The sequence below is a fragment of the Homo sapiens genome, chromosome 18 (genome assembly GCF_000001405.40).
Source record: "Homo sapiens chromosome 18, GRCh38.p14 Primary Assembly".
In the NCBI taxonomy this organism is placed as follows: domain Eukaryota; kingdom Metazoa; phylum Chordata; class Mammalia; order Primates; family Hominidae; genus Homo; species Homo sapiens.
Genome location: NC_000018.10, coordinates 42,919,653 through 42,935,832, shown reverse-complemented (window position 1 = coordinate 42,935,832; position 16,180 = coordinate 42,919,653). Strand labels below are relative to the sequence as shown.

Genomic DNA, 16,180 nt, shown 5'->3' with positions numbered 1-16,180 from the left:
AGAAAACTTTGTCACCGGGGTCTTGAGCCACTTGCTGGGGCCCGCTCCCTCCCTGTGGAGGGTTCTCTAGCTTCAGTAAATCCCTACTTTCACCATTTCGTTCCTTTGTTACTTTGCGCACTTTGTTCAATTCTTTGTTCCACACGCCAAGAACCTGGACATCTCACCTCCTAGGCTTGCCTTCTGGTAACAATATGTCTAATATCTTATAGCAGACACTGTACAAAGACTGTATAAAGATGAACACACTAGACAAGTTCCGGGCTCTCTTCGATCTTAGGATCCAGCAGAGGCACCCCATGCAACTGCACTGACACCATCTAATAAGTGCTGGATGGGTGAGTCCAGAGCTTCGTAGCTGTTAACCAACCCTGCGGTATCCATGTTTGCTAAAATCTGAAAGACTTGCAGGCAGAAGACTGCCACAAAAAATGAGGGAGAGAGTGTCTCTGCTGTAGAGTGATATAGGGGATTCCCTTAGCACATTTCCTAACTGAGCAGTGTCCTTGTTCGTTCATTCAACCCTGCCGCACACCACTCTCTAGTGAAGCAATTCGGAGTCATCTCAGCATCTGCTCAGCTCTCTTTCTTGAGGCCCCAACACTAACACCAGAATATCCCACAGTTAGACCTTGTATCTTCCTTAACAGGGTCCTCAGGGTTTTGAACAAGTGGTAAAGGCAGTAACTGATAATGTAGGGGAAAGGTGTTTCTTTTTTCTTTGTCCCAGCTGTTTCTTTATTTAATTACCCTGATCACTACCCACAGACACTCTGACTTTTTCTATTTGTTGATGATGCTGTGTTTGACGATTCCCAAGACTTCATTAGGACTCTTTCTATTTATCGCTTTTTTCTGCTTTCACTTTTAATTTTCCAGAAATTTTGAGTTACTGTTACCATCATTTTGTTTTCCAATGGTAGTATAGATATCAAATAATAACAATAGTTCTGTGATTTCAATTGCACTTTGAGGGGCAAGAGACTGAGAAATTGCTCACTGTCTTGAACAGGAAGCTGCTGATTTTAAAATATTGCTGCAATAGAAAGGGTTTAAGAAAAGCATTGTTTAAAATTATCATATGTCCTAGGCACCAAAATACATTTTAAAATAATAAAACATATGCTATACAATATTAATATCTGTGCTTATGTTTTATATGTATGCATATGATATCATATGATGTTAATATCCATGCTGTATGTTAACATGATATTCATATATCCATACTTTTTATATTTACTACAACTTACTAACAATTTGAAAAAACTATTAACTTCCCAAGTGAATCCATCTTGAGGCATCTCACAAACAATACCATAATAGAAACCAGCCTTGATAATTTTAAAACTCAAATATCCTCATTATCTCATCATTCTCCATTATCCCCATATTTTTCCTGGCTCTAACCTAATAATGAAATCCTATTTTTTCCAATGTAGTTGAATATGCAATTTTAAAATTATTGTATTTTAAATAACTGGATCAAAATGATTCTAAAATTACCAAACTGATATGATGATGTTTTTGTGTTATGGAACAGCTCACCTGAGTCTAAAAGTGCAATGAAACACAATTACATTTGTATAACCAAATTATTTGATTGAGCACAGTTACTGCAAAGAGTTGAAATAATATAGAACAAACAATGATTTTTTTCTATATATTTAAATTTTTTCCTACTATATTTGTATGCAGGATGCAAGGCAGATTAGTCTGTTCCCATGCTGCTAATAAAGACATACCTGAGAATGGGTAATTTATAAAGGAAAGAGGTTTCTTTTTTTTTTTTTCTTTTTTTTTTTTTTTCTTCTGTGAGACGGAGTCTTGCTCTGTCACCAGGCTGGAGTGCAGTGGTGTGATCTCGGCTCACTGCAACCTTCGACTCCTGGGTTCAAGCGATTCTCCTGCTTCAGCCTCCCGAGTAGCTGGGATTACAGGCATGCATCACCACGCCCAGCTAATTGTTGTATTTTTAGTAGAGACAGGGTTTCACCATGTTGGCCAGGATGGTCTCGAACTCCTGACCTTGTGTTCTGCCTGCCTCAGCCTCCCAAAGTGCTGAGATTACAGGCATGAGCCACCACACCCGGCCAGGAAAGAGGTTAATTGACTTACAGTTCAGCATGGCTGGGAGACCTCACAAAGTTTTCGATCATGGTGGAATAGGAAGTAAATATGTCCTTCATCACATGGTGGCAGGAAGGAGAAGAATGAGCAAAAAGGGCAAAAGCCCCTTATGAAACCATTACATTTCATGAGAACTCACTCATTATCATGAGCACTCACTCATTATCATGAGAACAGCATGGAGGTAACCGCCTCCACGATTCAATTAACTCTCACCAGGTCCCTTCCAGGATGTGGGAATTATGGGAACTACAATTTAAGATGAGATTTTGTCCAGGACACAGCCAAACCATTTCACAAGGTTACAAATGTATTTTGAAAAGAGAGAAAGATATTGACTGACTTGGGAACAAAAATTTTGCTGATTTTCATTGTACAGGCATGTCCTTTAACAATATAAATTTTAAAACATTTTTCTCCCAATTTTCTTAAAAGATTTATCTAGGATGATGTACCTCATTAGTATTCACAAACTCCTTTACTATTAGAAGCTTGCTTATTATGCCTGTGTTCCAGAATACATACATTATCATAGAGTTAGCACATCAAAGTATTTTTCTAAATGGCATTTATTTGTTCAAATGGCAGCAATTTAATTGAATTTTTTAATGTTAAAAATCTACCAAGCAATATAAGTGCAACATAAGTGTTAAACACAGTTTAAGCATAGATGTTGTACTCTAAAATGTTTAACATTTGCTTAGTGTCACAAACCTAATTCCTTGAATAAAAAGAAAATAAGAAAGATATAATTAATTGCTAATTTTTTAAGTTCATAAGTGATGAAAATATACAAAAAAATTATTCTCAATAAAGGCTGGGTTTGTTAGATATGGGTTAATAAAAAAAAACAGGAAGAATATAATTGACTAAGAAGCATGCACAGGATTCAGATCACGGCAAAGGAAGGAAAGCTACCCATGTGATGTAGAAGGGATTAGAAAACTGGAATTTCTGAGCTGGCAGTATTTTAATTAGCTATGAGAAAATGATATCATCACTACCTTTCTGGGCTCTGATTTTCTCATCTGCAAAAAAAAAATTTGATAATCACTAAATTCTCGATTCCCTAGAAAAGGTTCAAGTATGAGGAATAATGTGTCTGAAGGCACAATGGTAAGAGAGACAGCTTTTATGATCAGGCCATGAGAGAAGTGACCCCATTAGAGAGGGCATATTCAATATTAACTGAAGATAAAGTTGATTGGTAGCATGATATCAGATTATATAGGGTCTTAAAATCAGGCTGATGAGTATAGATTTGATGTGAAAGTAAGTGTGTAACCACTGGACCTTTGGAGACAGAAGAGCTGCAGAATAAATGCAGTACTTAAAGAAGAGTAATCAGATAGTGAAATGGATGGATTTCCCCCCATTGATGGATTGATTGGAAAAGGGAGACCGTGGGGTTACAGTAGCCACTCAGGAGGTGTAACTAAGCTGGAGGATGAAGTATATCCAGCACTTAATGATGGTCAAGAACCTTGTAATCTCTTCCTGGTTGTACTTCTGATGTTATAGAGGACAAACATCTGCTCCAATGACCACTTTCCTCATTTCTATCATGAGGGAGTGCTGGCCTCTCAATACAACTGTAAAATTTTATAATTATCTGGAGACAAATTCTTCTTTTTATTGCAAAACAAGATCATTTGGTTTTTACTGAAGGAGGAACCAAATAGTAATTTATTTTGTATTCAGTATTTAGAAATATGAATTTAATTGTGGATGGTGAAGCTTTTTCAGAGAAAGCACGTGTGGGTATGTGTGTGCATGAGTCCCATATCATTTTTCTTATTTATAGTAGTATCCTATCTGATACTCTAAATCAATTAGCAACTGCAACTTTGTCATGTGGATTTTCTTATTTCACTCTATTTTTGTTGAGATCATCCTTTCAGTATCACATTGGGAATGACTAAACTGCAGTAGATGAAATCCTTTCACAACACAGTTATGCTGGCTTCTTCCAAGACACATTCCTGTAGGTTTTATCGGCAGGAAAACAGCTCCCAGTATGAGTGACCTCCAGGATAAACAGGAAGCCAGCTGCGATTAAAAATATCTTTTAGTGGATTTGTACCCCCCAGAGGCGGTCATGAAACTTTAAATCTTTGACAAAATACAAGTCAAATAGAAAGAGGAAGGCAAACAGACTTCTATGGGAAAGAAATTTTGGTGCAAAATTTGATCCAAATACAGTAAGATTCCTCTTTCCTCCTCCCTTCTTAGTGTAAGACAAATGACTAATGCTAGAGAATGAAATAAGGAACATTAACTTGCTTTATAATTGTTGTGGATTTCAGTGGGATATAGGCTTATCTAAAAGTTAAACTAGACCTGGCTTTACATGTACAGGAATGAATAAGTAACTAAAAGCTTTATCCATTTAGTTTAAGGATTTGATACTCTTTCCCTTTTATCTTCATCCTCCAGCCTCCAATCCTCATTCCCCTTAAAGTGCATATCATCCAGGGAATAGTAACATATTTAAAAACATTTAGCTTAAAGTAAGTAATTAACCAAGTGATAATATAATTATCTTTTGGGCTTTGATCCAGGCACTGTCCCTAGTGCTTTGGAGAATATGATGCTCAGGTAGGTTAGAGTCTAGTGATGGGAATGAGAGTAAAACACACGTAATTACAATAAAAGAAAGAGGCATAAGTGCCAAAATCTGAGGACAGTTCAGTACTGTGCATGCCTGGCAAAAGAGAACAAAACTAGAAGAAAGCTGTCAAAAACCATTTTTATAAAATCTCCTTTAAAATAGATAAAATACTTCAAACGGAGGCAAAGCTCCAGCTCTCAAAAAGAAGGGACAAAAAGAATTTGTCCCCCCAAACTGATCCAGACTAATTGATTTGTACCCTATTTCCAACTCACATATTCAGTCAAAAAGTCTTGCCCCCTGAATCTGTCACAACTACCCCATTTAGATTCTAATCTTTCACCTAAGCCATATTTCCAGTTATCTATGGATGGTTCCATTTGGATGTCTAATATTAACTCTCACTAGACAAGTAGAACTCTGTATGGGACATGATGGCCCTTAAGTTATTTATTTTCTCAATCAGCTGATCTCTGTCATTACAACTACCAGATCCAGGGCTACAAAAACTGGAACCATATTTAATTTAATTTAATTTAATTTAATTCTTTCTTTCCTTGGCGAGGCAGTGGTATCAATGTGTCTCTGATTTTCTACTTGATAGCTCTAGGACTTCGACCATCTCATTTAATATCTCTATACTTTGTTTTTTTATATCTAATGTGAGATACGTTTTTCATGTCCTTTTTTCATAATTCTTTTCTCTTCATTTTTTTTTATTGTGACCTCTCATTCAAGGATTTCCCCCCTTTTCTTTCTCCTTTTGTGAAACCTCACTTCAGAATTACTGTGAAAGCCTTCATGGTTTTCTCCCTGCTTTCAGTGGCCCTTTCCTCCACTGTGACTCTCACCATTGCCAGACTAATCCTACTAAAATAGGGCTGCCTGCTTGTGACTTTCCTCCTGACAAAAATCTCCTGAGTTCTTGGTTTCCTATTGCATCAAACCCAAAACCTGGTTGTCAGGGATTTCAAGAGTCTGATCTCACTTGGCAACAAGAACATACCACCTCTTTATATGAGTCATACTAACGCCTCTTTCTGTAGCATTGTTTCTCTTCTTAAGGGCCTATCCCAGTCTGTCACCCTATACTCTCCGTCTTGCCACAACTCCACACCTCTCAACTCCTGGAACATCCATCTTTGCGCAGGCCTATGTTCCTCACTGAGGTCAGGATGCTTCAGTAGTGACTTGGCTTCTGAACATAATTGCCAGTGTTCTCTCTGGGGCACCTGTCCATGGAGTCTTCTTTGGAGTTCCCCTCACATGTGCTCCTGGCTGTTATTTTGTGCTAATCCCATTGCAATGGGACTGGCTTCATGAGCTGGCAATTGCTGCAGCTGCCCAGGGTCCCAAGCCCAGAAGGGCATTGCACTTGTTTTAATGTTTTATTCTTGCTGTCTTGAAATTCTTAATTATTTTTGAACAAGTAGCCTCACATTTTCACTTTGCATTGGGATCTACAAATTATGCAGCTATTCCTGCATTACAACCTTAATGCTTATTCAAATTGTATTTAGTTAAGAGTTTTCCAGGAGCCATCATTATAGTTGGATTCCAAGTACCCTTCAAGCCTCCAGTTTCAATGCCAACAACTAAACTAAAAAGATTTTAAATATCATTCTCAATTATTACACAAGAACCATTTTCTACAGAATAATTTTATATTATCTTGCTTGAAGCTTCCGTCAGTATTATTGAGTATGACTATGAAATGTTTGGCAAGGCTTACATTGAAAACCACAATTACAGGTTAGTCTTAGAGAACCTGATACTGCAGATCTAGTTTGGTTGACACTGGGGATGTTGTCTGCTATCTAAACCCCAAGAAGATAAATTGCCTTCAGCAATCAGTGCTTAGGGGAGATTTGTGTCAAATTAATATGTTATTATTGATGACAAAAGTGATATAATTGATCATGTTTTCATTGTAGCTTGGGTTGTTTAAACGTTCAGAGTCAAATTGTAAATCAAACTCTGTCTCCTCACTCTATCCTGGTTCTGATGCTCTAATTTTTATTTGTCTCATATAAATATATATATATATATATATATATCTCCATATTTTAGTTTTAGTATATGTATTCATTTTAGCAATCTCAAATCTTACATGCCTGTCATATATAAGTGCTCAATAAATATTTGATGAATGAGTTAGGCAAAGTGCAAGCAGTATTCCATGATAAAATGCATTCCTCAAAATATGTGTCAAATACCAAAAAACAAATGATAGATTATCTTCTCTGAAAACTGTAAAATGGTATTTGTTAATTATATTTTGACTTTTAGGCATAATCTTTGACCTCATATTATTGGCATTTATAAAAGCTTTGTTCGTTTTCATTTAAATTGACATAACCAGTTTAAGGCATCAGATTGAGACTGAGAAACTACCACTCCTACTTATTGCAATCCTTTTGCTTTGCAAAAATTATAGTAAATTCATGATACCTAGACTTTAATCCTTTATAATTTTTTCTGTATTTTCATTTAAAAGATACAAATAAAAGAAACAACAATCACATGATTCTGTGCTATGCCACCCTCCAAAAACTCAACTATTGAAGGGTAAGCAGGTCTTAGATGATTAACTACTATGCAAATGATGAATTTGTACTATGAAAGGCTATTTAAGAGTGACTATACATAATCTTTGGAAGTGAGGTTACCTGAAAGTTGAGGAGCTCTGTACAAATAATAAAGTTAAGGAAGAACATCACATCCTTTTCCCTCACCAAGCCCTCTTTGCCTTCCCTCTGAAAACTGTTCTTGCCGTTTTCTCAACCCCACAGTTCATTTAGATCTTAATTATTATTCATTCATTTTATCTTGGCTTGGTTGTGTTTCTCCAACCCAGACAAGTTCAGATATATATATATGCCCTACCACTTGGTACAGTGTTAGGTGTATGACTGACGGACTTATTAATTTACTTTTTTTTCCATAAGGAGAACAAATGTGGACATGCGGTTTATTAAAGAGATGGCCAAAAGGGATTCAGATCAGTATATGTAATGCTATCTGTGTGCCCTTACTGGGAGTTGCTAATAACCTGGTCTGAATATAGTGCTAGTGCTTTTTGAATGTAGTGAGGCATTCATATCTTTGTAGTACTGCTACTTGAATGCAACGGGGAGCTGGTCTAGTTCCTACATTTTCTAATACCTGCTTAAAATTCTTACTCTGATAATCAAGAAGCTGGAATATGAGATACATCAAAAATTCTTTATTCATTTTCTGAATATAGAAAAATTATCACACAATTTTAATACAAGGGAGTATATCAAAGGCAACTGATCATACTGGAATGTTGTATTCAGAATAGCTCTGAAAATATTAGAAATGCTTATATTTGTAGCATTTTATACAAAGGGTCTGTTTCATAAATATTTTGCTACTCATAGATAGCAGATGGAATCTGGTAATGTTCCTGAATAATTAACCAACAAGTTTCATTTATAGCAGGGAGCAAATGAAGAAGATATTAACATTCAGGATACATCAAACAGAAAGTATAGGGATCTTTAATTCACAGGTGAATGAAGACGGAAGCAACATGTTGAACACAGCATTTTTCCTTTTAAAGTGATTTCTTTATCATATATTATTAAGTTGATACATAGTAAAGAGATTTTGCTCAAATCTCTGAGTCCCATCAGCCTCTACTGCATCTTTTAGTAAAACATACACACACACACACACACACACACACACACACACACCACATCCACATGGAAACATATATACGTGTTGTGTAAAGAGTTGGTATAGAAAATGTCATCTAAGTTAAAATATCCTCCACATTCATTATGATAGCTTCATTACATCTGTTTTATTGGTGGAAAGATTTTCTGTTGGGGAAAAAAAAAGCTTAATACTTTTCTGATTAAGCTTACATAAAAAACACTGCCACATTTATATTTAATGCAGCTAAAAGAGGATTTCATGCCTGTTCTCCCAGTGAAAGGTTCTATTCTGCCAGATTTGTACCAGAGATAATAATAGGCTTGATTTGTATTGTATTTTAAAAATTCATCAAAGCATTTTAACATCTCTTCTCTCATTTGAGCTTTTCTACTGCCCTGTAAGACTGGTTAAGTGTGTGTCCTAATCCATCTTTAACAAAGGGGGAAATTGAGGCACAGAGAGGTTATGTGACATGTCAGAAAACATGCTCTAAGTAAGTAACAGTCCTAGAGGTCATGTACTATGACTGTCTTTCTCTGCTTCTGGAATATAAAGACCACTCTTGAGCATACATTCAGTTATATATTCATACAGAGAGGTGCAAAACAAAAATCATCCAAATTTTAAAGTATGTATGCTGGAACTTCATACCTAGAGATTCCAATTTAGATCAGATGTTATTCCTTGACATATCTATTTTTAATGTGATATGTGTGTGACTTTGAATCTGGTCAACAAGCACAATAACTGTTGGACTTTTATTTATTCAATCATCCAATATTCTCTGTGAATGTTGCCTTCTGTAATTTGCTTGTCTTCCTAACAGGTTGTTACACTTTATCAAATTTGTTAGTCATTCATTATGGTATATTTTTGTTGAAGTAGTCAAATGCTTTACTCTTTTTCTTATGTCTCACATAGAAATATATTCCTTCAGTTCAAATTTAAAAAACAATATACAGTTGAACAACAAAAAGAACCAACCCTTTTCAAAGACAACTACTACATTCTTCACAACAAAATAAAATCTATATGTAGAAGACAACATATAAATGAATATGTCATAGGACATGTTGATCATAACACATAAATAATAAATACAAATGAAAGGAACATGATGTTTCAATTCTACAATTTGTAAAAGTGGAACAATTTGATAAGCAGCATTGTTGAAAATGAGGAGAATTGGTCACATTTATATAATGTTGGAAAAAGTATTGTTGATACAATGTCTTTGGCATTGAGATTGGCAATATTTCTCAAAAGTAAAATGTATGTTCTTTTTGGTCTAGAAATACTAGACCAAAAAGATTCTCAGGTATAGATAAATTTTCTCAGGTATAGATAAATCTGTGTGATATGGATGTTTAAGAATAAATATCACAGCATTGTCTATAATAAGAATAAAAGGAGGCCATCTAAATGCCTGTTCATAGATAAGTAGCTAAATAAATTATGGTACATGTATAAAAAGAATTATGATGTCTCTATAAAAAAGAATAAGCAATATTTATATATACTTATATAGAATAGTTTCCAAGGTATATTAGCGCTGCTACATTTTAATTAAAGGTATATATTATGTTTCCCATTGAGTTTAGAATGATGTATAAAGGAAGAAGGAATATGTATATGCTTGTATGTACACAGACAGTAGTGTAAAGTTAAAGAAGCTATTAACTGATGCATTTGAAAAGAAAAATTAGAAGTTTGAGGTGAGAAGAAAACTAAATTAGTACTAGATATATCTGTACCATTTAAATATTTTGCTAATATTTGTATTTGTTAATTTTCAAAAAGGACTAGACGATTGAAAATCAAAAACTTTAGTACTGAAAATAATAATCAGAAAGTAGCATAAACTTTAAATTGTAAAATGGATCTTTTCCATTTTAGCTTGCATTTTTATTATTGTTTTAATCATATACAACTGACACAACAGATCTAATTATGTTTTCCTAAAGATCAAACATATTTCTAAGATGATTTTATAATTTCTTTTCCAAAGAAATGTAATTATGAGTTTGAGAAACATGTTATCATTTTCAGTCCATACTTCTCTAGTCAAGTCCTGTCAATTATGGGGTTTTGATTGCGACATAGGATTTCAAAATCAGAGTATGTCAGAACTATGAGGGATCCCAGATATTTTATTACTCAATCTTGGTTCAGGAATGAAACATGGATCCAATAGAATATTTTTTCTCCCATATTAGTACATTTCACTCACATTGTGAAAGTTAGGATTGAGTTAAAATAAAAATTAATGCTAAGTAATATGATACAGTGTGAGTCAGGTAACATGAGTTTTTTGACCCAACTCTATATCATGTTGCTGTTGGTCTTTGGACAAGTCTCTTGTCACGTCTGTGATCCAGTTCTTGCAACTTAGAAATGATTGCTTGAAACCGATGCAAAAGCCGTTTGCATTTATTCCATATTTACTGCAAATGATTGGTGAAATTCACTTATTAACTCAGGAATTTATTAGCTTTATCACTCTCTGGACTTGCAACCACCCTAGTTTTCCAAAGTTCCTGGATCTACATAAATGCTCCCATCTTTCAAGCTAGCGTAAATCAAATTGACATTTATTTAAACAATTACTCTGAGTAGGGCATTTTGTGAGTTCTTATAAACACTTTGCTAGGTAAAGAAGTCCCATTTTCTCAAATTCTTCAAACACAGTTAAAACCCACCTAAAATTTTATTGCTTTGATTACTTATAGCACAAACTGTCCAAGTCACAATATGCTCTTTTGTTCTTTCATTGCTTATTCCACCAACAGAAGTTAAGTTTCATATTTTTCATTGCTTCTATCTAATTAGCCATTGTCATTTTAACAGTAGTTTCAGAATAAAAGTGAATGAAAACAGATATTTTAGACTTAAAAGAAGTTTCCAAATTGTAATTCAGAACAAATACTGAATTTTCAGTCACCGAGAAGTTGTAGTTGAAAGAAGATGAAAGAGTCAGCAGAATGTAGAAACTGATCCATCCCTCAGCAATCCAGATCCTTCTGTTTATGCACCTTCATGAGACAAATTAATACCCAAACAAATAACTGGATCTGGAATTATCAATGCTAATAACTTTTTCCATTCACAAGGAAAACCAGGTCTAACTCTAATTCATTTTCATATTTTTGAGTAGAAAAATTTGTTCCCCCAGATTCCTTGGCAGACGTATGGCAAATCCCCTATACAAACCAACTTTCATTTGCAAAGTGAAGCCAACTTCCTTAGATTATACAATTTTTTTTCTTCAATGTTTCTAGAAAAGAAAATTGGTTCCAATAAATAGGGAGTGAGAAAATATCTGAAATATGTAATTTAAAGAATATCTAGCCTGGGTTCAAATAAATTTAATGATTAGAGTATAAACATTTAGATTCATTTTCTTAAAGTGAGGTCATTACAAATTAAAAAAAAATCATCTTTATATAATCCCTAAGAGTCTATAAGTAAAAATTGCTGTTTAATATGTTTTTCTAAGATCTCATAAATGAAATCTCCTATGATTAAATATCAATATTCTTAATAGTTTAAAACATTCAAATTTCATAATGATTACATTTAAACCTCATATTAATTAGCTATATTGAAAGCCCATAACTAATTTTTTTTTTTTTTTCCTGCAGGCAGAATTCACAGCCATGCGGGAGCAGTACATGCGAGGTGGGGAAGGCTTCATCATCTGCTACTCCGTCACTGACCGTCAATCATTTCAGGAGGCTGCCAAGTTTAAAGAGCTCATTTTTCAGGTCCGCCACACCTATGAAATTCCCCTGGTGCTGGTGGGTAACAAAATTGATCTGGAACAGTTCCGCCAGGTGAGTGCCGATTTTATCTGGTAGCTTCTGTCTTTTGCTCTGAGGATGCATAGTACAAAATATGGCTGCTTTCCCAGGTTCACACTGAAAATTATGAGAAAGAAATTATGCACATGATTTTTCTAATAAGTCATGGTGGTCCCATGGTAAATTGTGTTGGCCTCCATAATATATTTTACCACATATGCTATTTTGCAGAGTGCCCTTACTAGTGCCCTATCCCCTAGGATCTGGGATTGTATACTGAATACAGTAGAAATGATTCTTGTTGACTTCTGAAGTGTAGCCTTAAGATTTCTGCAGTTTCTGCCATTGCCGCTTGAACTGCTTACCCTTGAGTTCAAGTAAAGAAGCCCAAGCTAACCATGAGAAGATAGTCATGTGGACAAAATGAGATTCAGGCTCACAGCTGTCCCTGCCAAGATACTACACATGTGGGCAAAGCCACTTTGCATGTTTCAGCACCAGCCACCATGTAACTGTAACCTCATAACATAGCCAGCCAATCCACATAGAACACGAAAATCTCCCAGGTAAGCCTTGTCTGGATTTCTGACCTAGAGAATCAGTGGCAAATAAAATGAAATTGTTTACGCTACCATGTTTTGGGGGTAATTTTTCATGCAGCAATAGATGATCAAAACAGAATCTTTCCCTCCTTCCAGAATTAGAACAAGCCACTACTTCTCAGGTTGCATCAGAAATTACTCTTATATACCATCCATTTCCTTCAGGCTGCATCTGCTGTATCAATGTGATCAATAGAGAGTCTCAAAACTTCTCCGAACAAACAAAATTGATAAGGAAGAAACTGTGGCTAGCTTAGACTGGGATCCATTACCGTAACTTACATAGTTCATTCATTATATTTTCTTCTCTTCTGGTCAGACACTACTTCTTGGGCAATAACAGATGGCCGAACTATGATGGCTTCCTCCCTGAGATCTCAAGATAGTAATGATAAATCAGTTGCCCTGGTTCAAGAATCAGGCAAATCATATCACAATTCCATTCCCATGACTCACATTGTACAAAGTAACATTACTGAGAAGTGTCATGCAAATCAAATTTTTGTAAATCTAATTTTCTAAATTGAGTTGCTTTGTTATAAATTGAGATGCTTCATCTTTCTTTTCGTTGACCTTAAATTTGAACTGGCTTTTAATAGTTCATGTTATTCCAGCTAATGATTTATTGTTAGCCTATTTAAATTAGTCAACTAGTAAAACCTTTTACTAACGTAGGAATCTTCACTAAAACAAATAGTTGTCTCCTATCTTAAGGGTATTATAAATATGAATTTTCATGCTTAATATGCTTTAAGTTTTCTTAAATTGAAAAGATCTCATACAGAGTCCATGTTTACAAGTTGATGTTTAACCGGGAACGTATTTCTATGATTTAGTGCAATGCATTTTTGTGGTGATATTTTTGTATATTTTACTTGAGAATCTAAGCATCTTAAAATGGCAGCTAATTATTGTTTTAGGAACTGTAATATTTGTTCATCTCTTCTGCAACTGTTCTGCTGTCTTACTTTGCTGTTTCTCTTTCTCCAAAGACATGTTCAGCATGATATGTTGCATTTCTATGGGTTAAGAATTCAAGTTTATCTCATCAGTTAAATATAATCTATTTTAGATAACTTGGCAGAAAGGAAGAAAGTTGGAGGCTTAGTAGCTGAACCTTTCCTATACTCCTCTGAAGAGTGCTAGTGCTTTACTTTTCTTAGGGCCTCTAGGAACTAGTGTGACAAAGCACCCTAAATGTGCCACCAAGTGATCATATGCCCATTTTTGTTGCACTTCTAAGAATTCCTGGAGAACAAAAACCTCTGACAGGGTTTCAGTTAGGAAAGCTATAAGTGACTCTGAAAAACTAGTGAATTTGAAAACATTCAGGAAACATTTTTTCAGGCCAAAAATCAACTAAACTTTCTCTACAATGATTGCTCTTCATGACTCCAAAGCTGGCTGACATTTACTTTTCCTTCACTCTCCAGGCCCTGTCTTACCAGGCTCAAAGGTGATACTTAGGATCTCACAAAGGCATGTTTATCAGAACCCCTATCCCAGCCTGGTTAATTAGCTGCTCCTTTCAGATTAGCAGTGAAGTGAATTGCAAGCATTACAAATGTCACTGAAATTAAAACCCAGGCAAAGATACTAAGTTGAGTAACTTTGCAGATTTGATAGTCTTTTCCTTGTAGATAAAAGCAAGTACTGTAAACAAGATAGTCACAGAAAGTGCGAAAACCATGAAAACACAAATTGCAATCTTTGCAAAAATGTTTGTGTACCACTGTCTCCAGTAATGAAGTGTTGATGTAAAAATTTGGCTTCTGGCTGTGGTTGTGATAGCAATAATTATTCTTAAAACTGCAGAGTGGTTTTTTCTGAGCAAAATGATTTCAATTCACACTTTTATCTTGTAACCACTCTGTGTATTTGTAAGCCAAGCATTTGAAGAATGAGGACATCTGACAAATGAATATATTGATAGCAATTGACTTTACTAAACTATTGCAGCTAGTGACAAAATTAAGACTAAAACACTGTCATATTGTACTCTTTTTGTTCATCAGTATCTGAAAGGTTAGGTTTCTGTTTCTTCATATAAAAAAAAAAAAGCAGACTCAAAAGAAAAATAAAGATGCTGACACCTGGATGGTTTGCAGCTCAAAAGAATTCTCTGAGAATTCCTAGAGTGATAAAGTTAAACTCTCAACGGTGAAATTACACTGGTGCTATTGTTTAGTGGTGAGAGGCAAAGGAGTAGGATTCTCACTAAGCAATTCTTATTCCTTATCAGCCTACACTGAAAGAGTTTGGAAGGGAAGAATTCTGATGGTTGAAGCTGCTTCTTTTCATATTTGGTAAGAATAGGTGCCTGTATTCTTAATGCATTTTGGGAAATCCCAGGGCCCTTTCTAAAAAAGATAAAAAGAAAAAAAACAAAAAGACAACGAGTTTTAGTGTATTATGTGTTTATCATTATTCACCTCCTTGAGCTTTAATGTGGAAGGATTCAAAGGATAGTATTTAATCTGTGAAAAATATTCATTTTGATGGTGATATTACTGATGATACATTTAGTGTTTTCAAGGCTCTGTGCTGGGCACGTTACACACAAGATTTTATTTAATCCTCACCGCAAGACCAAGAAGTAGTCTCCTTTATACCTATTTACATATGAGTCAACTGAATCTCTGATACATTCAATAACTTGTTCAAGGTCACACAGCTAGTTAGAGTTGAGAGACAAAACCCAGTGTATTCTGACTTAAAATCTCACTGTGTCTTATGGTTGGCCTACAAACCATTGTCATTTTATCATGAACTTATTTTTTTATATCAGCTTCAAGATACTAGCATGCTTCTTAGAGCAGTAGCATCTTATGGACAAGGAGGAGCAGGAAGAATCAGGATAATAATTCTTTGGGTTTGGAGTGGGCAGTTCCAGGCCATGGATAAGCCAGTAGTAGCCCAAAGTTGGTTTCCTTACCCTTTTGGTGGGAGGAAAAATAAAAGTAAGGAAATGGGTTTCAAAATTACTGGAAAGTTGTGTTTTATAACAGCCAAAAAATTCTGTCCAAAGTTTATCCAGACTATTCTAAAGTCTGTCTTAATTCCTGAACAACATTAGGTCCTTGAGCTCCCAAGGTCTTTGTCCCTATTCATGCAGGCTTCTGTCTTCCCACTGGAGAATAGAAGGAGATAGGCCCGGATTTCTCTTTTTCCAAAACCCTGACCGGCTGTGCAAAGTAGAAGCAGTCTATGAGTGAAGGAAGTTTCAGGGATTTGGGAGCTAGGTTAGAACGTTTTATGTCAATTGCAGACCACAAACTTTTTTTTTTTTGAGATGGAGTCTCGCTCTGTCACCCAGGCTGGAGTGCAGTGGTACAATCTCCACTCACTGC

General features: G+C 35.2%; 1 protein-coding gene across 2 annotated transcripts in view; it reads left to right on the top strand.

Moving 5' to 3' along the window:
- The window catches only part of RIT2 (Ras like without CAAX 2), a 372,459-nt gene that overhangs the window by 179,853 nt on the left and 176,426 nt on the right, over nt 1-16,180 (top strand). The window contains exons 4-5 of one of the 2 annotated variants that reach the window (NM_001272077.2): nt 12,070-12,261; nt 15,073-15,136. In NM_001272077.2, coding sequence (NP_001259006.1) covers nt 12,070-12,261; nt 15,073-15,108 — 228 coding nt within the window. In that variant the 3' untranslated portion in view covers nt 15,109-15,136. The remainder of the gene's footprint in view (nt 1-12,069; nt 12,262-15,072; nt 15,137-16,180) is intronic. The other variant, NM_002930.4, reaches the window with a different exon arrangement.